The sequence below is a fragment of the Homo sapiens genome, chromosome 19 (assembly GCF_000001405.40).
Source record: "Homo sapiens chromosome 19, GRCh38.p14 Primary Assembly".
Lineage (NCBI taxonomy): Eukaryota > Metazoa > Chordata > Mammalia > Primates > Hominidae > Homo > Homo sapiens.
In genome coordinates this window covers 19171323-19192235 of record NC_000019.10, presented here as the reverse complement: position 1 = coordinate 19192235, position 20913 = coordinate 19171323, and the positions used below count along the sequence as shown (strand labels likewise).

At 54.4% G+C, this 20913-nt stretch overlaps 2 protein-coding genes across 5 annotated transcripts in view, besides 5 other annotated features; both read left to right on the top strand.

The window, feature by feature from the left end:
- BORCS8 (BLOC-1 related complex subunit 8) lies at positions 84–15330 on the top strand. Of its 2 annotated transcripts, NM_001145784.2 has the most exons (6): positions 84–155; positions 5231–5343; positions 6138–6202; positions 9553–9663; positions 11475–11550; positions 14776–15330. In NM_001145784.2, the coding sequence occupies exons 1-5, from the start codon at positions 119–121 to the stop codon at positions 11506–11508; spliced, it is 360 nt and encodes a 119-aa protein (NP_001139256.1). In that variant the 5' UTR covers positions 84–118; the 3' UTR covers positions 11509–11550; positions 14776–15330. The 2 variants fall into 2 exon arrangements, with proteins under 2 accessions (NP_001139256.1, NP_001139255.1); NM_001145783.2 differs by lacking the exons at positions 11475–11550; positions 14776–15330 and having other exon boundaries at positions 9553–10360.
- BORCS8-MEF2B (BORCS8-MEF2B readthrough) overlaps positions 84–20913 on the top strand; it is a 46586-nt gene continuing 25756 nt past the window's right edge. For 2 of the 3 annotated variants that reach the window (NR_027308.2, NR_027307.2), the window contains exons 1-5: positions 84–155; positions 5231–5343; positions 6138–6202; positions 9553–9663; positions 11475–11550. The gene's annotated coding sequence lies outside the window, so the exon portion shown is untranslated. The remainder of the gene's footprint in view (positions 156–5230; positions 5344–6137; positions 6203–9552; positions 9664–11474; positions 11551–20913) is intronic. The other variant, NM_005919.4, reaches the window with a different exon arrangement.
- Positions 6263–6764: an enhancer, noted in NCBI's record as "H3K4me1 hESC enhancer chr19:19296281-19296782 (GRCh37/hg19 assembly coordinates)". NCBI's record gives its function as "activates a minimal SCP1, AML or CMV promoter by ChIP-STARR-seq in primed H9 embryonic stem cells {active_cell/tissue: H9 hESC(primed)}" and the evidence as "EXISTENCE:reporter gene assay evidence [ECO:0000049][PMID:30033119]".
- Positions 17355–17856: an enhancer, noted in NCBI's record as "H3K4me1 hESC enhancer chr19:19285189-19285690 (GRCh37/hg19 assembly coordinates)". NCBI's record gives its function as "activates a minimal SCP1, AML or CMV promoter by ChIP-STARR-seq in naive H9 embryonic stem cells {active_cell/tissue: H9 hESC(naive)}" and the evidence as "EXISTENCE:reporter gene assay evidence [ECO:0000049][PMID:30033119]".
- Positions 19500–20106: an enhancer, noted in NCBI's record as "H3K27ac-H3K4me1 hESC enhancer chr19:19282939-19283545 (GRCh37/hg19 assembly coordinates)". NCBI's record gives its function as "activates a minimal SCP1, AML or CMV promoter by ChIP-STARR-seq in primed H9 embryonic stem cells {active_cell/tissue: H9 hESC(primed)}" and the evidence as "EXISTENCE:reporter gene assay evidence [ECO:0000049][PMID:30033119]".
- Positions 19500–20267: a biological region, named in NCBI's record as "H3K27ac-H3K4me1 hESC enhancer GRCh37_chr19:19282939-19283545".
- Positions 20048–20267: an enhancer, noted in NCBI's record as "active region_14341". NCBI's record gives its function as "activates an Ori minimal core promoter by ATAC-STARR-seq in GM12878 lymphoblastoid cells {active_cell/tissue: GM12878}" and the evidence as "EXISTENCE:reporter gene assay evidence [ECO:0000049][PMID:35858748]".

The window sequence follows — 20913 nt, the reverse complement described above, 5'->3', positions numbered from 1 at the left end:
CCCTCTGACACCGGAACAGGAGCCGTGCGGCGTCCGGTTTCAGCAGGGAAGGCTTAGGCGGGCGTCCCAACCTCCGGGCTTCCGGTGCCGTTTCCCGGTTCGCTCGGCCGCGGTCGCTATGGAGGAGCCGGAGATGCAGCTCAAGGGGAAGAAAGGTGGTGCGGGCCTGCGGGCGGGACAGAGGGGGCCGGTAACTTGTGGAGGGGCGGCCTGACAAAGGCCGGGCGCGGAGGGACCGTGCGAGGAGCAGTGATTGAACTGCCGTCCAATCCCAGCTCTGCCGCTGACTAGTTTTGAAACCTGTAGAAAGGCTCCGTGTCTGCTTTAATTACCGGTCCCCCCAGGATTGTTTCAAGAATTCAGTAGCTGAGGCTGGGAGTGGTGGCTTTGTAATCCCAGCACTTTGGGAGGCCTAGGCGGGAGGATCGCTTGAGCCCGAGACCAGCCTAGGTGACATAGTGAGATCTCGTCTCTAAAAAAATACAAAAATTAGCCGGGCGTGGTGGCGCACGCCTGTGGTCCCAGCTACTTGGGCGGCTAAGGTGGGAGGATTGCTTGAGCCCGGGAGGTCAAGGCTGCACTGCAGTGGGCTACGGTCGTGCCACTGCACCCCCAGCCTGGGTGACAAGTGAGACCCTGTCTAAAAAAAAAAAACTCAACAACCTGATATTTGTAATGCATTGGAAGAATCCCCGGGGCGTAGTAATCGCTGTGCGTCTTGTTTCCTTTTTTTTTTTTTTTTTTGAGACAAGGTATCACACTGTCGCCCAGGCTGGGGTGCGGTGGCGCGATCATGGCTCACTGTAGCCTCGATCTCTCTGGCGCGGGCGATCCTCTTGCCTCAGCTTCTCCAGTAGCTGGGACTACAAGTGCACACCACCACATCAGGCTAATTCTTTAATTTTTTTTTTTTTTGACGGAGTCTCGCTCTGTCACCCAGGCTGGAGTGCCGTGGGGGGATCTCAGCTCACTGCAACCTCAGCCCCCTGAGTAGCTAGGATTACAGGCACACACCCCCATGCCCAGCTAATTTTTTTGTATTTTTAGTAGAGACGGGGTTTCACCTTGTTGCTCAGGCTAGTCTCGAACTCCTGACCTCGAGTGATCCACCCACCTTGGCCTCCCAAAGTGCTGGGATTACAGGTGTGAACCACTGCACCCAGCTAATCCCCTATACTTTAAATCACCCTAGATTACTCACATCTAGAATACATAATACAGGCCTACACATCACTTCATTCACATGGATTCAAAGAAGTGCTTCGTGTAGGGCAGATTGAAGTTTTGCTTTTTGAAACTTTGTGGAATTTTTTTTTTCCTATTTTCCATCCACGGTTGGTTGAATCCACAGATTCGGGAACCATGGATAACGGAGGGCATGAGTATGAGGCATGAGCCACCGTGCCTTGTCTGTTATGCTCACCTTTCTTCTTCTTTTTTTTTATTTGAGACGGAGTTTTGCTCTTGTTGCCAAGGCTGGAGTGCAATGGCGTGATCATGGCTCACGGCAACCTCCGCCTCCCGGGTTCAAGTGTTTCTCCTGCCTCAGCCTCCCGAATAGCTGGGATTACAGGCATGCACCACCATGCCTGGCTAATTTTGTATTTTCAGTAGAAACGGGGTTTCTCCACGTTGGTCAGGCTGGTGTCGAACTCCCAACCTCAGGTGATCCTCCCGCTTCGGCCTCCCAAAGTTCTGGAATTACAGGCGTGGGCCACCGCCCCTGGCCGTTATGCTCACATTCAAAGCGAGGAGGCCTATCTGGTAAGAGGTCACACAGTTTGGAGGTGGCAGGCTGGGCTCTGCCACTCAAGGCACAGTGGTGAGATGGAGAGACTTGTGTTAGCCTCCTTTGACTCCCAGACACGCCTGGGTTCTCTCTCCTGAGCAGTCACCCTGGTGATGGCATTGGATTCATCTCTGTAGCAAACTTTGAGGCTGGTGCTGTTATTCTTTTTTTGTGGATGAGGAAGCTGAGGCTCAGAGAAGCTCTGCTCTCCCAAGTCCAAGCTTTTAACTTTTCCTGTGAACATGTAACCTAATCAGTTGAAATTGGTATTAAGAGAAAGGAACAAAATGCCTGCCAAGGTCCTCCGTGAGGTGGAGGGGTCATCTTTTAAGCTTGGTAGTCAGGGAGGGTCTTGCCCAGGAGGTGACATTTGAGCAGACCTGAGGGATGAAGGAGAGCCAGTGACGGAATGGTGTCTCCAGGTGGGAATACCAAGTGCAAAGGCCTTGAGGTGACCAAGTGTTTAGAGCTCTGCTGTAATGAATAAAGGAGCAACTGGTCACATACGGGCATTTAATTTTTTTTTTTTTGGGACAGAGTCTCACTCTTTTGCCCAGACTGGAGTGCAGTGGTATGATCATGGCTCACTGCAGCCTCCACTTGTCAGACCCAAGCAGTCCTCCCACCTCAGCCTCCTGAGTAGCTGGGACTACAGGTATAGATCACCATGACCAGCTTATTTTTGCAATTTTTTATAGAGGTGGGGTTTCGCCATGTCTCCCAGGCTGGTCTTGAACTCCTAGGCTGAATCCATCCTCCTGCCAAAGTGCTGGGATTACAGGCGTGAGCCACCGCACCCGGCGTTGGTCTCAAATTCTTATCCTCAAGTGATCCTCCTACCTTGTCCTCTCGGGCAGTGAGAAAGTTCTGGGCAGTGCTGGGAGGTCCAAGGAAGAGCCAGGGGTGGAGGGCAAGGAAGGCAGGGAGGTCAAGAGCAGCCAGAACATGCAGGGCAAGAAAGGCGGATTTTATTCTCTGGCAGGTGGGAGCTATGGAAGAGTTTAAAGCAAGGGTGGGAATAGATGATTTGTTCATTTGGAGTTTGCCTCACGTGCTGCATGGAGGTTGAACTGTTGGCAGCAGGGGAAGCAGAGAGGCCAGGGAGAAGGTGGATCTGGCATCCAGGCAGGAGATGGCCGTGCCTCGCTGTGCCTGGACCGGTGCGGGCAGTGTGGTATAATAGAACAGGTGAGACTGGAACCATCAGGATCTGCCCAAGAATGGGACAGGAAAGGCGGGCCCTGCTGGCTGGCTGGGAATGCCGTTGTTGAAACAGACCCTGTAATGAGGATTTGCGTGCAATTAATTTATCAGGGCCGGGCGGTGGCTCACTCCTGTAATCCCAGCACTCTGGGAGGCCGAAGTGGGCAGATCACTTGAGGTCAGGAGTTCGAGACCAGCCTGGCCAACATGGTAAAACCCCATCTCAAATAAAAATACAAAAATTAGCCAGGCGTGGTGGCGGGTGCCTGTAATCCCAGCTACTCGGGAGGCTGAGGCAGGAGAATCACCTGAACCCGGGAGGTGGAGGTTGCAGTGAGCCGAGATTACACTACTGCACTCCAGCCTGGACAACAGAGCAAGACTCTGTCTCAAAAACAAGAAAAAAAAAATTTCATCAGGAGACACCTGCAGGGGAGAAGGGGAAACAGGGCAGGGCTGGCTGGTGAGGAGGCTGAGCGAGGGGCACCTCAGGTAAAATCTGCAGAGGGAGGCCTCATCCTGGGCCTGCACAGGAGCCCAGGGGGATGTTAGGCTCTGGGTTGTTCAGTGCCCAGCGAGGGACACAGGTTTCCATATCTCTCACTGGTGAGTGGCAGCTGAGGCCCTCCTGGGATGTGAACTTCCAGGCACTTTCAGGTCCTGTGGGCATGCTCTGAAGAGTCCCGAGTGTGGTCACGGGGGCAAAAAGAATGCCGGGAAGTGCAGTAGGCAGCAGTGTCCACTACCGGTGGGTTTGGGAGGGAAAGATGAGAAGAGTTCACTGGGGGCCAGGCACAGTGGCTCATGCCTATAATCCCAGCACTTTGGGAGGCTGAGGCAGGAGGATCACTTGAGACCAAGAGTTCAGGACCAGCCTGGGCCACATAGCAAGACCTTGTCTCTATTTTAAAAAATGAGCCGGGCGCGGTGGCTCATGCCTGTAATCCCAGCACTTTGGAGCCCGAGGCAGGCGGATCACGAGGTCAGGAGATCGAGACCATCCTGGTAACACAGTGAAACCCCGTCTCTACTAAAAAATACAAAAAGTTAGCCGGGCGTGGTGGCGGGTGCCTGTAGTCCCAGCTACGCGGGAGGCTGAGCCGGGAGAATGACGTGAACCCAGGAGGTGGAGCTTGCAGTGAGCCAAGATTGCCCCACTACACTCCAGCCTGGGCGACAGAGTGAGACTCCATCTCAAAATAATAATAAATAAATAAATAAATAAATGAAAAAACTAGCCAGGCATGGTGGTTTGCACCTGTAGTTCTAGCTCCTCGGGAGGCTGAGGCGTGATGATGCCTTGAGGCTGGGAGTTTCGAGGGTGCAGTGAGCTGTGATCACACCACTGCACTCCAGCCTGGGCAACAGAGCGAGACCCTGTCTCTAAAAAAAAAGTTCAATCAAGCTGGCCAGGCGCGGTGGCTCAAGCCTGTAATCCCAGCACTTTGGGAGGCCATGGTGAGCGGATCACGAGGTCAGGAGATCGAGACCATCCTGACCAACATGGTGAAACCCTGTCTCCACTAAAAATACAAAAATTAGCTGGGCGTGGTGGTGCATGCCTGTAATCCCAGCTACTCAGGAGGCTGAGGCAGGAGAATCACTTGAACCAGGGAGTCGGAGGTTGTGGTGAGCCGAGATTGCACCACTGCACTCCAGCCTGATGACAGAGCAAGACTCTGTCTCAAAAAAAAAAAAAAGAAGTTTACTCGTTATGAACTCATCACTCATTATGTCCTCTCATTAATGTCCTCTTTTTTTTTTTTTGAGATGGAGTTTTGCTCTTGTTGCCCAGGCTGGAGTGCAATGGCATGACGTCAGCTCACTGCAACCTCCACCTCCCAGATTCAAGTGATTTCTCCTGCCTCAGCCTCCAGAATAGCTGGGACTACAGGCGCCCGCCATCATGCCTGGCTAATTTTTGTATTTTTAGTAGAGATGGGTTTTACCATGATGGCCTGGCTGGTCTTGAATTCCTGACCTCAGGTGATCTGCCCACCTCAGCCTCCAAAGTGCTAGGATTACAGGCGTGAGCCACCGCACCCGGTCTCATTAATGTCCTCTTGAGTGAGCCCTGCTGTGACCACTTCCTCCAGCCTGTCATGGGCCAGGAGTGACCTAGCTGCGGAGGGACACGCCAGATGCCCCCTTTGCTCTGGCTGGGCTCAACACTTGAGCAATGAGGAGGCTGACGCTTTGTCTCCCCACACCCGCCCCATCCCTACCACCTGTATCTAGTCACGGACAAGTTCACTGAGAGCGTCTACGTCCTGGCCAACGAGCCATCCGTGGCCCTGTACCGGCTGCAGGAGCATGTGCGTCGCTCCCTCCCCGAGCTGGCCCAGCACAAGGTGAGCTGGGGCCTGCTGGGAGGAGCAGGGGCTGTCAGGGCAGGAGTCAAGGCTGGGACACCAGCAAGGAGGCATGTGGTGGCAAAGCCAGGTCAGAGGCGTGGTGGACAGATCTGGGATAGATTTTGAAGGAGATGGCAAGATGTGTGTATTAGTTCATTCTCATGCTGCTATCAGGACATAGCCAAGACTGGGTAATTTATAAAGAGGTTTAATTGACTCACAGTTCAACAGGGCTGGGGAGGCCTCAGGAAACTTAGAATCATGGCAGAAGGGGAAGCAAACATGTACTTCCTCACATGGCAGCAAGAAGGAGAAGTATGAGTGCCCAGTGAAGGGGGAGGCCCCTTATTAAAACCACAAGATCTCGTGAGAACTCACTTATCAGGAGAACAGGATGAGGGGAACCACCTCTATGATTCAGTTGTCTCCACCTGGTCCCTCTCACAACACATGGGGATTATGGGAACTACAATTCAAGGTGAGATTTGGGTGGGGACACAGTCAAACTATACTATTCTGTTACAGTTATGACCTGCATGGCAAGGAGGCAGCCGTCTGACTATCTAAGGGAAGGATGTGCCAGGCAGGGGGAACAGCCTGTGCAAAGGCCCTGAGGCATGGTGGCCAGGTGTTCACAGAAAGCCCAGACCTGTGAGGGAAGGGAGTTGCAGGAGGAAAGGTCTCTGCTTCCACCATGAGGACTCAGGAGAGCCCCAACCAAGAGAGCTGGGAGGAAGGCCCTCTAGGTGGGGGTGGCCTCCCTTGCCAAATATCTCCTGCGCCCCCTACAGGCAGACATGCAGCGTTGGGAGGAGCAGAGCCAGGGAGCCATCTACACTGTGGAGTACGCCTGCAGGTGAGCGCCACAGCCTCCCCGCTGCAGGGCCACCTTTTGCTGCTCTGGCCTCCTGGGCATTCAGGGGCATCCCAGCCAACTGCCCAGTAAGCCCCACCCTGCCAGGCCTACCCGAGTGGGTGTATGGGGTCTGTACCACGATTCACTTGGCCAGGGCCCCAGGTGGGTCTCTTCCCTGTGCTGAGCCCCTCCCCAGCTGCCACAGGAAAGAGGGATAGGGATTCTGGAAGATGCCTCTGGGGACCAGCATTTCTCTCCCACAGCCAGGACAGATGGGCCAGTGGGGTGGATGGCAGCCAGGGGGAAGCCCAAAGCACAGATATGGCTGTTTATTTTTAAATTTTTTTTGAGACAGAATCTTACTCTGTCACCCAGGCTGGAGTGCAGTGGCATGATCTCAGTTCACTGCAACGTCCGCCTCTCAAGTCCAAGCAGTTCTCCCGCTTCAGCCTCCCGAGTAGCTGGGACTACAGGCGCCCGCCACCTTGCCCGGCTAATTTTTGTATTTTTAGCAGAGATGGGGTTTCGCCATGTTGGCCAGGCTGGTCTCAAACTTCTGACCTCAGGTGATCTACCCACCTCAGCCTCCCAAAGTGCTCAGATTACAGATGCGAGCCACCACGCCTGGCCGGTGTTTCTTTTTGTTACTGACCCCTTGCCTCCTGTGCTTTGGTTCCATTCCTCGTGACTGTATTCCCAAGCCTTATTCCGGTTGCCTCGGGTTGCCCAGTTGGCCTTGGAAGTTCCTCGACTTTGCACAGACATGCTGTTTGCACCTGACATGGGCTGTGGGCCATTTTATTGGCGGCTGAATGATGCTCCCAGCAGTTCCCTTGGTGTGTTGCTGTTTGGTTGTGTGGGCGAAGGTGCCTAGACAAGAAATCCTGCTGCTGGGGCAGTATTCTGCCATTGGCAGCCTTGGCCCCCTTGGTGGGACAAGGGTTGACCAGACAGACAGTATCTTCCTTAGCTCAAGGAAAAGAAAAGAAATAGGAGTTGCTAGAGCTGGGAATGGTTATGCACGCCTATAGTTCCAGCTACTCAGGAGGCTGAGGTGGGAGGATGCCTTGAAAGGAGTTCAGGGTCAGCCTGCGTGATATAGCCAGACCTCTCCTCTAAAGAAGAAAGAAATACGGCCGGGTGCAGGGGCTTACGCCTGTACTCCCAGTGCTTTGGGAGTCTGAGGTGGGAGGATCACTTCAGCCCAGGAGTTTGAGACCAGTCTGGGCAACCTGGTGAAACCCTATTCCTACAAAAAATACAAAAACTAGCCGAGCCTGGTGGCACACACCTCTAGTCCCAGCTACTCGGGATGCTGAGGTGGGAGGATTGCTTAAGCCTGGGAGGTTGAGGCTGCAGTGAGTGGAGATTGCACCACTGCACTCCAGCCTGGGCAACAGAACAAGATCCTGTCTCAAAAAAACAAAAAACAGACCGGGCGCGGTGGCTCACACCTGTAATCCCAGCACTTTGGGAGGCCAAGGCAGGCGGATCATGAGCTCAGGAGATCGAGACCATCCTGGCTAACACGGTGAAACCGCGTCTTTACTAAAAATACAAAAAAATTAGCCAGGTGTGGTGGCACCTGTAGTCCCAGCTACGTGGGAGGCTGAGGCAGGAGAATGGCATGAACCCGGGAGGTGGAGCTTGCAGTGAGCCGAGATCACGCCATTGCACTCCAGCCTGGGCGACAGAGCGAGACTCCGTCTCAAAAAAAAAAAAAAAAAAGAAAGGAAAAAAAAAAACCAACAAAAAACCTATGCTTTCTTCTGCTTCCTCTAGCTGTGCCATCTAATCCAGGAACCTACGCCATGGGTGGCTAAGCACACTTCAATTTTAACTCGTTAAAATGAAACTGGGTGCAGTGACTCACGCCAGTAATCCCAGCACTTTGGGAGGCCGAGGTGGGCAGATCACTTGCGGCAGGAGTTAAGACCAGCCTGGCCAACATGGTGCAACCCTATCTCTACTAAAAATACAAAAATTAGCCAGGTGTGGTGGTGGGCACCTGTAATCCCAGCTACTTGGGAGGCGGAGGCAGGAGAATCGCTTGAACCTGGGAGACGGAGGTTGCTGTGAGCTGAGATTGTGCTCAGTCTGGGCAACAAAGTGAGACTTTGTCTCAAAAAAAAAAATTAAAAATTAAAAAAAAATTACAAAATGAGGCTGAGCGCAGTGGCTCACGCCTGTAATCCCAGCACTTTTGGAGGCCGAGGCAGGAGGATCCCCTGAGGTCAGGAGTTTGAGACCAGCCTGACCAACATGTACTAAAAGTACAAAAATTAGCCAGGTGTGGTGGTGGGCACCTGTAATCCCAGCTACTTGGGAGGCTGAGGCAGGAGAATTGCTTGAACCTGGGAGGCGGAGGTTGCAGTGAGCCGAGATCACACCATTGCACTCCAGCCTGGGCAACAAGAGCGAAATTCCGTCTCAAAAAAAAAAAAAGAAAGAAAAAAAATATTCAGCTCCCAAGTCCCGCTAGCCACATTCCAGGTGCCTCTCAGCCATCTCAATGGATAAAGAACATTTTCATCACCACAGAAGTTGCCCCAGATACCACTGGGCTAGGCGGGAGGCCAGCGAACATTTGTCTGTAGTGAAATGTATATTTTTTTTTTTTTTTTGAGACGGAGTCTCGCTCTGTCGCCCAGGCTGGAGTGCAGTGGCGCGATCTCAGCCCACTGCAAGCTCTGCCTCCCAGGTTCATGCCATTCTCCTGCCTCAGCCTCCCGAGTAGCTGGGACTACAGGCGGCCGCCACCACGCCCGGCTAATTTTTTTGTATTTTTAGTAGAGACAGAGGTTTCACCTTGTTAGCCAGCATGGTCTTGACCTCCCGACCTCATGATCCACCCGCCTCAGCCTCCCAGAGTGCTGGGATTACAGGCATGATCCACTGCGCCCATCCCAGATTTTTCTTTTTAAGAGATGGGGTCTCGCTGTGTTGCCCAGGCTGGTCTCAACCTCCTGGGCTCAAGCCATCCTCTTGCCTTGGCCTCTTGAGTAGCTGGGATTATAGGTGTGAACCACAGTGCCCAGGTGTTTTTTCTTTCCTATTTTTTACACCCCCATTATCAGCAGTAATGGCCGAGATATTTTTTATGACATCTTTATACACTGATCCCTCCTTCAAAACATTAGATGTTTCAGTGGCAGAGAATGTGCTGTGTTGCACAGATGTCATCTAGTCATAGCAGGGAAATCTAAAATGTAAGCCCACTGTGAGTCCTTCGGGAAGCCCGCAGAATCACTGAGGTACCCACCGAGCCCTGGTGGTGACCTCAAGTGCTGGGGTGTGGGACAGTTACCTGCAGGTCCGGAGCGCTGACCAGGCCTGTCCTCCCGTTTCAGCGCCGTGAAGAACCTGGTGGACAGCAGCGTCTACTTCCGCAGCGTGGAGGGTCTGCTCAAACAGGCCATCAGCATCCGGGACCATATGAATGCCAGTGCCCAGGGCCACAGGTAGCTCCTGGGACCGCCCGCCCCCACTGCCACTCCCAGCTGCAAGGACCGTCTCTCAGCTGCGCTGGGAACCGCTGCTTCTCGCTTATTAGAAAACTGTCTCTTTCCTTTTGTCCTGGTGTCTGGTGACCTCCTCTTGTCCTGTGGCATCTATAACCTGAGTTCAGTCACTTAATACCGAGGTCCTGCGCTCTGCTGTGTGCCTGGCCCTGGGCTGGGCACTGGGGACATAGCAGTGACCGAGACAGACAGGCTCACAAGGAGACATACGACAACCAGGTAAACATGGCAGACAAGAGCATGTCAGATGCGCTGTGAAGAACACTGCGGGGCCCCTCCTAGGAGGTGGCATGAGTTACATGCAGACAGAGACGATCCGGGGGCAGACGGAGTTCCATGTGGGGCAGTGGTGAGGGCAGACGCTCTGGGGCTGGGATCCCTGGGAGTGTTCGAGAAGCACCGAGAAGGCTTCTGTGGCTGGAGCCGGCCAGCTGGGGGAGATGGGGCCAGGGAGATGGCAGGGGCCTCTCCCTGTCCCAGGACCCAGAGCCAAGGGAGGCTTTAAGCCCAGGACCAGGGGTCTGAAAACGAAAAGCACTCACAGTCCTTGAACATTGGAAAGAGAATTTTTGAAGAGTAGCCCTTCTTTTTGTTTTTGTTGGCATTCTAAGTTAATAAACACGCTTATGAACACACACTCATGTGCCAGGAGCAGGAATGTCGCCTTGGGATGCGTCTGGCTCCCACAGATTGGGGTTCTGGCAGGCCTGTCCCCCACTGGGCAAAAGAAAGAAAGCATCTGTGTTGCTTAACTAAGACGCGAAAATTGCAGAAACAAGACTTGAGTGTATGTGTAAGAATGGGAGTGTAGCAATCTTCCCTCAAACGGTAGCATGAAGGGTTTATCTGGGCTCTCTTGCATCTGAAGAGGAGCGGCATCTGGCTTCTCTGCCATGGGTTGGCATTGGCAGTTGGATCTAGACTTCACTGAAAAGCCATAGCTCTTACTGTCAACTCAGGGTTTCCAAAAATGCTTTCATATGCCCTGTTTGTGCCTGCTGTTTCAAAAACGCAACACACTCCTGAAAGATATTAGTAGCAGCTTGAGTTGCTGCTGACACCTCTCTTTGTAAGCCCTGTGGGTTTGAAGTGCCCAGTCTTGTGTGAGTGAGTTGCAGACGTGGCCTCTGGAGTGCCTTGTCCCACTTTTAAAAACATACATATATATTTCTTTAAATAGAGATGGGGTCATGATACATTCCCTGGGCTGGTCTCAAACCCCTGGGCTCAAGCAATTCTCTCGCCTCAGCCTCCCAAAGTGCTGGGATTACAGGTGTGACCCACTGGGCCCAGCCATTTGTCCCTTTTTTTTTTTTTCAAGACAGAGCCTCACTTTGTCGCCCAGGCTAGAGTGCACTGGTGCGATCTTAGCTCACTCCAGCCTCCCTCTCTGGGTTCCAAGTGATTCTCGTGCCTCAGCCTCTCGAGTAGCTGGGATTACAGGCGCCTGCCACCACACCTGGCTAATTTTTGTATTTTTAGTAGAGACGGGGTTTCGCCATGTTGGCCAGGCTGGTCTTGAACTCCTGACCTCAGGTGATCCACCCACCTCAGCCTCCCAAAGTGCTGGGATTACAGGCGTGAGCCACCGTTCCTGGCCCACTCATCCCACTTTTAAGCAGGATGCCCCAGAAGCTCAAGCCAGAGGTCTTTGAGACCAGAGTATCACCCAAACATACACTCCAGCCAGCTGAGCAAGCCTTGTGGCCTCTGACCTTGGCCTCATGGATGCTGCACATGTTTTGTTGCAGCCCGGAGGAACCACCCCCGCCCTCCTCAGCCTGATCCTGGAAGAGACTCGGGGCCCCCCAGCCTCCGCCAACCCAGGTCAGTGCCGAGGGTAGCCACGAGCCTCTCTCTCTGCTCTGAACTAACCAACCCGCCCGCTTGGCAGCCAGGCAGGCACCTGCTTGTCTAACCACTTGGGGTTTCTCACTGGGCTTGTGGGATGATTTCGGAGGTGGCAGGTGGAGGGGTGTCTGCAGGTCCAGAATGTTCCACCCTGCTGCTCAGGGACCATGTCAGCCCATCTCTCCCACTCTCTCTCCACCACCTTCCTCTCTCTTTTCCAGGCCATAGGCCCCATGCTAGTCCCAGAGATTTCCACCCCCCAAGACAGAGAAGGGAGCCCACATTTCCTCTATCCTACCACGTGCCAGCAGCCTGCTTTACCCGTGCACAGTCTCTCAGGCAGAGCCCGGCATGGGCAATTACCCACCTATCTCTGGGACCTCCCCACCCATCTACTGCCTACCTGCTGTGTGACCGAGCAAATTCACTACCCTCTCTGGTCTCTGCATTTACTTTCTGTAAAGGTGGCTCTCAGGTGACCAAGAGGGTGCAGGGCACAGTGACGGATGTGCTTTGGAGCAGTCGGCTATTGCTGCATAACACAGCATCCCAAAACAGTGGTTTACAGCCCCAGTAATTAACCTACTCATGATTCTGCACTTTGGGCTGGGCTCAGCTGGGTGGTTCTGCTGCTGTCCCTGGGGCTCACCCATGTGGTGCTCATGGGAGCTCAGCTGCACCTGCATAGTCAGGGGGTCCCTTGGCCAGGACTGTTGGCAGCAGGGGTCAGATTTTCCTCATGGCCTCTCCAGCAGGCCAGCCCGGGTTTCTCCTGGTGGCTGGGAGCCAGGAGAGCGGCTCCCATGCAGAGTGCTGGTTTCACATTTGTGGGTGGCCCATCCGTTGAGGCCAGTCACGTGGCCAGGCCCAGGACCAGATGGGAGAGGACCGCACAAGTGCAGCGTGAGCTGTGGGAGGTGTGGCTGACCACGCTTAGAGAGTGTGGTGCCAGGAAAGATCTGATGTGTCACCATTCTATATCTGTGATGGGCAGACGCAGGCAGGTCAAAGGGGCCCTGGGGACTTACCGAGCCCCTGCCTATTGGCCAGGCACTGTGATTGTCCTCGGTGCCATGTGCCATGGAAGCCCTCTCAGAGGTCGAGGGGAGGCAGGTGGAGACAGAGCCTCTGTAGGCCTTTCAAGCTGTAGCCCCAGAGCCCAGAGGCAGCCGAATTCATGTGTGCAGTCAGAGAGCACTTAGTGGGCACTGTAGTCAATCAGTGAGCGCTTACTGGACACCACAGGCAGCAAGCATTTACTGAGTACCTCTGGCAGTTGATGCATACTTCCTGAGTACCTGTTCATAGCAGGCTTAGCTCTGGATGTGGGGTGGTGAGGAATCCCACAGGCTGAGGGGTGGCCTGGGAGCTTTCCAGGGGGCCTGAAGCAGGAGGGGCTGCCTGAGTGGGTCAGCAGCCCAGCCCAGTGCCCTACGCAGCCCTGCCCACACCCCCAACCCAGCCTCTGTCTCCCCAGTCCCATCCCCCACACCCTGGTCCCTCCTACTTTGTGCCTCGAGGACACTGCCCCGCTGCCCTCCTCACTTCCCAGCGTCTGCTGTCCCCTCCGCTGCTGCTGCCCGGCAGGATTGCTCTGTGTCTCATCCACGTTTGTCCCTGCAGAGTTCCTCGCCTCTCCCTGGAACCGCCAGCCTCATGCCGCATCTCAGAGGCTTTTTTTTTCTCTCTTTTTTTTTTTTTTGAGATGGAGTCTCACTCTGTCACCCAGGCTAGAGTGCGGTGGTGCGATCTCGGTTCAGTGTAACCTCTGCCTGTCAGGTTCAAGCGATTATCCCGCTTCAGCCTCCCGAGTAGGTGGGACTACAGGTGCCTGCCACCTCGCCCGGCTAATTTTTGTATTTTTAGTAGAGATGGAATTTCAGCATGTTGGTCAGTCAGGTCTCGAACTCCCGACCTCAGGTGATCTGCCCGCCTCGGCCTCCCAAAGTCCTGGGATTATAGGCATGAGCCACTGCGCCCGGCCTCAGAGGCTTTCATTCCCACTTTTCCCCCAAAACTGCGCCTCTTTGGGGTCATCAGTGACCTTCGCAGGGTCAAGTCATCCCCCTCTCCTGTCCCAGGACCTTAAGCACTGCCCTGTTTTACAGAAGAGGAAACTGAGGCCCCGAGAGGTAAGGCAGCCAGCTCAGGGTCATCGCCCACGCCCAGAAATGCCAGGATTCCCACCCGGACCTCTGACCACCAAGCTCCACCTTAGTCTGGCCCGGGGTCATCCCTCAGGTGCTGCCTCATGCCTTGGGTCTGTCTCTCAGACCACCCTGGCCCTTGCCCCTGCTCCCCAGCCTGACTGAAGCTGGGCCAGGCAGAGACTGAAGACTGAACGAGTGTGGCCAGCATTCCTCCTGCACCTGCCCGGAGCCTCCAGGCCCAGCCGTCCATGTTCCCAGAAGTCCAGAAGTGGCTTTGCTGCTCCTGGACTCTCACTGGCCCCCCATCGACCCTTGGACCAATAACTGCCATCAAAATAATCCTGATTATGCACCTATCAAGTCCCTGGCCCTGGGCTAAAGTCTTCACAGGGGTCATCTCATTTCATCCTCAGCCCCAAAAGGCAGGTCTCACCCCCAAATACATATGGACAAAAAGAGGCTCTGCCGGGTGTGATGGCGGGCACCTGTAATCCCAGCTACTCAGGAGGTTGAGGCATGAGAATCGCTTGAACCCAGGAGGCAGAGGTTCCAGTGAGCCAAGATGGCGCCACTGCACTCCAGCCTGCGCGACAGAGCGAGACTTCGCACCCGCCGCCCCCCAACCAAAAAAAAAAAGGGCACAGTCAGAGAAGAGCAGAGCCCGGCTTGGTTTGGTCCCAGCCCTGCCTGCCTCTGATGTGCTGTGTGACATAGGCCTGGTGCTGGCCCTCTCTGGGTCTCCCTTTCTTTCTTCCTTTCTTTTCTTTTCTTTTCTTTTCTTTTCTTTTCTTTTCTTTTCTTTTCTTTTCTTTTCTCTTCCTTCCTTCCTTCCTTCCTTCCTTCCTTCCTTCCTTCCTTCCTTCCTTCCTTCTTTCTTTCTTTCTTTTGACAGGATCTGGCTGTCATCCAGGCTGGAGTGCAGTGGCACGATCTCGGCTCACTGCAACCTCTGCCTCCTGGGCTCAAGTGATCCTCCTGTCTCAGCCTCCCAAGTAGCTGGGACTACAGGCGCACACCACTACCCCCAGCTAATTTTTTGTATTTTTTGTAGAGACGGGGTTTCACCATGTTGGCTAGGCTGGTCTCAAACTCCTGAGCTCGTGATCCTCCCGCCTCAGCCTCCCAAAGTGCTGGGATTATAGGTGTGAGCCACCGCACCCAGCCTTGGTTCTCCCTTTCTTCATCTGGATAAGGAAGGCTGGACTGCACCTTCTCTACAGGCTGAGTTGGACATTCGCAGATCTACCCTCCCAACCTGCATTCTGCCTCAAGCAGCAACGCCCACCCCAGGCTCAGGCCACATGGAGAAGCCACCCCTAGTTCCAGTGGTGGATGTGGCACCTCGGCCTGGCCAATCAGAGCTCCCTTGTCCTAGGTTCCTAGTGATTGGTTTGAGATGGACACGTGACCCAATGAGCGACCTTTCCTGGGAGTTCTACCAGGAGCATCAGGAAGGTTGAGCTGGGTGTATGGGAACCAGGCCGGGGCGAGGGGTTCCGGGGGGACCTGAGAACATTGTGTGGAGCCCTGGATCCAACTGTACCTGACACTAGCCAATTTCATTTCTTCAGTTTCATGGACCCCTAAATTATGATTTTTGCCAAAATGGCTTTGAGTCCGTTTCTGCTGCTGTTTGCAGAAGGGCCTGCACTGACCACTGTGAATGCCAAGCCTGGGTGACCAGGCCTCCACAAGTTATGCATCTCCAAGGCCAGCTGTGTGCCAATGCAGTTACCCCAGAATCCCTTGTTCCAGTACAATGTATTAGGGAGGTCAGATAAGAGTTGTTTGGGGTCGAGGCAGGTTCCAGTCACTGCTCTGGGAGGGTCCCTCAGCTTGGCACTGTGGGGTGGTTGATGGAGACGGATGGGAAGAGCAGGGGTGTCCCGAGGGGAGACAGAGGGCATCCTGTTAGGACATCGGGCCTGTCAAGGCATCTGAAGGCCTGGAAAGGGGGTTCAGCCCTACCTCTCCTCCTTCTAGGTCACACTGGGGGGCCTCTGTGCCATTATCCCACCTCTCCACTGTCCTACTCAGCTTAGGAGTGGGGAGGAGCCTAAAGCCACCCCATTTAGGGCACTGATTGGTGTGTGGCCTCCAGAGTCCTTCTCCCTTCTTACCTGCTCTGAAGGCACCTCTCAATGTCCATCTGTCCTTCGTGCGACCATTTCTCCAGCAAACACTGGTATTTGTGAGCCAGCCCTCTTGCTCAGACCTTCAGGACAAACTGGCAGCAGAATGGGATTATTGCCTGCCTCCCAGGACCTGCCTAGGATGTCTGGGGCGCTAGGAGCTAGGGGTGAGGGAGGCAGGTGTGGGGGGCCCCACCAGACCCTTCTAGGGCTCTGAGTCACTCATAGCCCCTGGATGCAACCTCAACCAGCGACTAACAGTCATCTCTCTCTCTTTTTTTTTTGAGCTGGAGCCTCACTCTCGCCCAGGCTGGAGTGCAGTGGCGCGATCTCGGCTCACAATAACCTCTGCCGCCTGGGTTCAAGCCATTCTCCTACCTCAGCCTCCAGAATAGCTGGGATTATAGGCACCTGCCACTGCGCCCAACTAATTTTTGTAGTTTTAGTAGAGACGGGGTTTCACCATCTTGGCCAGACTGGTCTTGAACTCCTGACCTCGTTCTCCCAAAGTGCTGAGATTACAGGTGTGAGCCACCGTGCCCAGCCCAGTCATCTCTTAAAAGGAGTCTAGGCCGGGTGCGGTGGCACACGCTTGTAATCCCAGCACTTTGGGAAGTCAAGACTAGAGGAACCCCTGAGTCCAGGAGTTGGAGACCAGCCTGGCAACATGGAGAGACCCTGTCTCTATAAAAAAACAAAATAGCTGAGCATGGTGGCTCACGCCTGTAATCCCAGCACTTTGGGAGGCTGAGGTGGGCAGATCACCTGAGGTTAGGGGTTCAAGACCAGCCTGACCAATATGGTGAAACCCTGTCTCTACCAAAAATATAAAAAATTAGCCGGGTGTGGTGGTGCGCGCCTCTAATCCCAGCTACTTGGGAAGCTGAGGCAGGAGAATTGCTTGAACCCGGGAGGCAGAGGTTGCAGTGAGCCAAGATGGAGCCACTACACTCTAGCCTGGGTGACAGAGCGAGACTCTGTCTCAAAAAATAATAAATAAATAAATAGATAAAAGGGATCTGATCAAGACTCTGGGTTGTCAGACACCTCGTCACCCCGAGTCCAAGGGCTTGTGGGGGCGCTGGTTAATTTGCATCTCATTTGAATGCTCGATAGCCCTTTTTGCCTGGAGGGCGCCCCGCCCACTCTAGCCGCCAGGGGGCGCAAGAGGCAAAGCGTTGGCGGGAAGTTCAGCCTCCTAGCGGTCATTGTCTGCAGTCCTGGCTGGCCCTGGTGGGCACACTGTGACCCTCCACCCTTTTTCACCCTATATGCCCTCGCTCCCATTTTTCAGAGAGCAAACTGAGGTTCTGAGAGGCCAGAGGGCTCTCAGAACAAGAGCTCGCAGCCTCCCTTGTCAGGGTGGAGAGCAAGGGCACTCCTAGAGCTCACTCAATAGCATTTACTGGCCAGGCGCGGGGGCTCACACCTGTAATCCCAGCGCTTTCGGAGGCCGAGGTGGGCGGATCACTTGACGTCAGGAGTTGGAGACCAGCCTGGCCAACATGATGAAACCTCGTCTCTACTGAAAATACAAAAATTAGCTGGGTGTGGTGCATGCCTGTAATCCCCAGCTACTCTGGAGGCTGAGGCAGGAGAATCGCTTGAGCCCGGGAGGTGGAGGTTGCAGTGAGCCGAGATCACGCCACTGCACTCCAGCGTGGGCGACAGAGGTAGACTCCATTTCAAAAAACACCCAGCTGGGCATGGTGGGTCACGCCTGTAATCCCAGCACTTTGGGAGCCCGAGGCGGGTGGATTACGAGGTCAGGAGATTGAGACCGTCGTGGCCAACATGGTGAAACCCCATCTCTACTAAAAATACAAAAATTAGCTGGCTGTGGTGAGCACCTGTAATCCTAGCTACTCGGGAGGCTGAGGCAGCAGAATGACTTGAACCCGGGAGGTGGAGATTGCAGTGAGCCGAGATTGCGCCACTGCACTCCAGCCTGGCGACAGAGCCAGACTCCGTCTCAAAAAAAAAAAAAAAAAAAATTTAACTCCCGGCAGAACTCCAGAGATAGGCAGCTAGAAGAGAGACAGTGAGCTCTCCGTGCCATGGGGCATCCAAACAGAAGCATAGTGCTCACGAGGCTGGAGATCACCCAGAAAGGATCCCAACCCTGATCTGCAGATGGGGTAAAAGGAGACCCATACAGGGCAGCGACCTGCCCCCTGCTCCGTCCACAGTGGTCAGGACAAGAATCAGACTTCCGCTGGGTTTTTGTCCTTAGCCATTGGTGTGAGTCCTGGTTTTTATTTCAGACCTACTCCTCTGGGTTCCCGGAGAGTCCTGCACACTCAGGCCCCTGGAAAGCCTTTTTTTTTTTTTTTCTTTTCCCTACAGTATCCCTGAACAAGGCTTCTGGGTGCCCCAGGCTTATCCCCCACTCCCTTTCACTGCTTAGACCTTCTTTGAGATTCTCCAGTTCTTCAAGAAACCCATGGAGGCTGTGCGCAATGGCTCATATCCATAATCCTAGCTCTTTTGGAGGCCAAGGCAGGAGGATCGCTTAAGCCCAGGAGTTCGAGACCAGCCTGGGCAACAAGCGAGACACCCAGTGCACCTCAAAAAAAAATTTAAAAATTAGCCAGGTGTGGTAGTGCATTCCTATAGTCCCAGCTACTTGGTAGATGGAAGCGAGAGGATCACTTGAGCCCAGGAGTTCAAGGCTGCAGTGAGCCATGATTGTACCACTGCACTCCAGCCTGGGCAACAGAGCAACTCTGTCTCTAAAAAATGAAAAGAAAGAAACCCGTGGAGACACCCCTTTGGTGCCACCATGCACTGGGCCCGGGCCCAAGGAACCCCCAGGCTGGGGGACACAGAACCAGCCACATACTCTACCCCGCCCCCTGGATCAGTGCTAAGCTGGAAGGAAGGGTGGGGAGGTGGAAGGATCCTAAGTGGTAAGAGGATAGGAAGGCTTTTGGAGGAGGGAACATTGGAGGTGGGCCTTAAGGGCTCCTATTATCCCCACTTCTTCTTTTTTTTTTTTTTTTTTTCTTTTTTGAGACAGAGTCTTGCTCTTGTCACCCAGGCTGGAGTACAGTGGCGTGATCTTGGCTCACTGCAACCTCCACCTCCCGGGTTCAAGCAATTCTCCTGCCTCAGCCTCCTGAGTAGCTGGGATTACAGGTGTGTGCCACCATGCCTGGCTTTTTTTTTTTTCTTTTTTTTTTCGAGACAGAGTCTCGCTCTGTCGCCCAGGTTGGAGTGCAGTGGCACGATCTTGGCTCACTGCAAGCTCCGCCTCCCAGGTTCACGCCATTCTCCTGCCTCAGCCTCCCGAGTAGCTGGGACTACAGGCGCCTGCCACCACGCCTGGCTAATTTTTTGTATTTTCAGTAGAGACGGGGTTTCACCGTGTTAGTGAGGATGGTCTCGATCTCCTGACCTCGGGATCCACCCACCTCGGCCTCCCAAAGTGCTGGGATTACAGGCGTGAGCCACCGCGCCCAGCCTATCCACACTTCTCATATGAGCAAAGAGGCCCCAAGGGGTGCAGTGACCATCCTGAGGTCACACAGTGAGTGGGCGGCACAGCTGGGATGGGGACTCAGGGTTCTTTAACCTCAGGGCCCTCCCTACCTACTGGGTCACACATCCTTATCATGGAAGGTCCTTCAAAGCCTTCTCCTGGGAGAGGGGAGAGAATCTGGAGGAGGGAGACAGCGGGGGCAGCTTCTCCACCTCCCCCAGCCTCCCACCCTAGCCTTCTCCTCCATCCCCCACCCACCACCTCCCCCATCTCCCAGACCTGCTTCCCAGGTCACTCTTCTCCCTCACCACCCACTCTGGACCCTTCTATCCCTTCCTCCTCACAACCTTCCCTTCTACCTTCCAACCTCTTACTCTAGCAACTAAGGGTGTCCCTTCATCTGAGAAGAATGAGGTTAAGACTCTTGGTGGCCCTGCTAGGGGACACAATTAGTGGTTGGGGAAGGTATAGGATAGGAACAGAGGCAAAAGGACACGGGACAGACCATGAATAACAAGATGGTGCCCACCAGAAGGAGGGGGCTGGGGAGTTGGGGTGCATAAGGGCCAGCCCCAGCCAGCTTCGCTCTGCTGGGCTAGCCCTTCCCCCAGAGCTGGCCCAGCTGCCGGCCTCACGTAACCAGAGCCTGCCTGTTGCATCAGAGGTGGGCGGGTGGCCTCCGGTAAACAGAGCAGCCCTCCGGGGGCCCAGGGCTCCCCAGCCACCTCCACACTCCCCAAGCCTTGTTCTGCACCATGGAGTGGAGGCAGAAGCCCCCAGCCTGGCCCAGGCCCTGGCATGTCCTTGGGGCACCCCAGTGTATGGCACTGGGCACTGGATGGGGACAGGAGGGACCCACTGATGACACAGTATGAACTCTATAGTTTTCATGTCCAAAGAGAAAGTTGTGCTCAGACTAGAGGCCCACACTGCCCATGTCACAGACGGGTAAACTGAGGTGTGGGGAGAGACACAAGCCTCCCAGGCCCCCTGTTCCCTGTCTCAGTGTCCCCCACACTCCAGCATCTGCCACATGCCTCCCCCTGAGTTTGGGGGACCAGCCCCTCTCTTCTCTGGAGGAGATGGACACCAGGCAGCTTTGCAGCCCCATTGCTCTCCACCTGTATCTGCCCCTCCTCTTCACCCCCTGCCCGCTATACTGGCTTCACCTTCCTCATCTTCCCCGGCCAGAGAATGTTCTATGCTCTTCCTCTGCACTTTTGCAAGTGCTTTTCCCTCTTGAAAAAGCCCTTCTCGGGTCTTGTGTAGTGGCTCACACCTGTAATCTCAGCACCTTGGGAGGCCGAGGAGGAAGGATCTCTTAAGCCCAGGAGTTTGGGACCAGCCTGGGCAACATAGTGAGACATCCTCTCTTAAAAAAAACAAAATTAGCTGGACCTGGTGGTGGCCTGCCTGTAGTCCCAGCTGCTGGGGAGGCTAAGTTGGGAGGATTGCTTGAGCCTAGGAGGTCGAGGCTGCAGTGAGCTATGATCATGCCACTGCACTCCAGCCTGGGCAACACAGTGAGATCCTGCCTTGAAGAAAAAAACAAGAAAAACCTTTCTCCTAGTGGCAA

Excerpts from the sequence above, each read along its gene's own strand:
- BORCS8 (NM_001145784.2), top strand. The coding sequence starts at position 119 with ATGGAGGAGCCGGAGATGCAGCTCAAGGGGAAGAAAG. Across the intron at positions 5,344-6,137 it reads CCGAGCTGGCCCAGCACAAG|GCAGACATGCAGCGTTGGGA; the intron begins GTGAGCTGGGGC and ends CGCCCCCTACAG. Across the intron at positions 6,203-9,552 it reads ACTGTGGAGTACGCCTGCAG|CGCCGTGAAGAACCTGGTGG; the intron begins GTGAGCGCCACA and ends CTCCCGTTTCAG.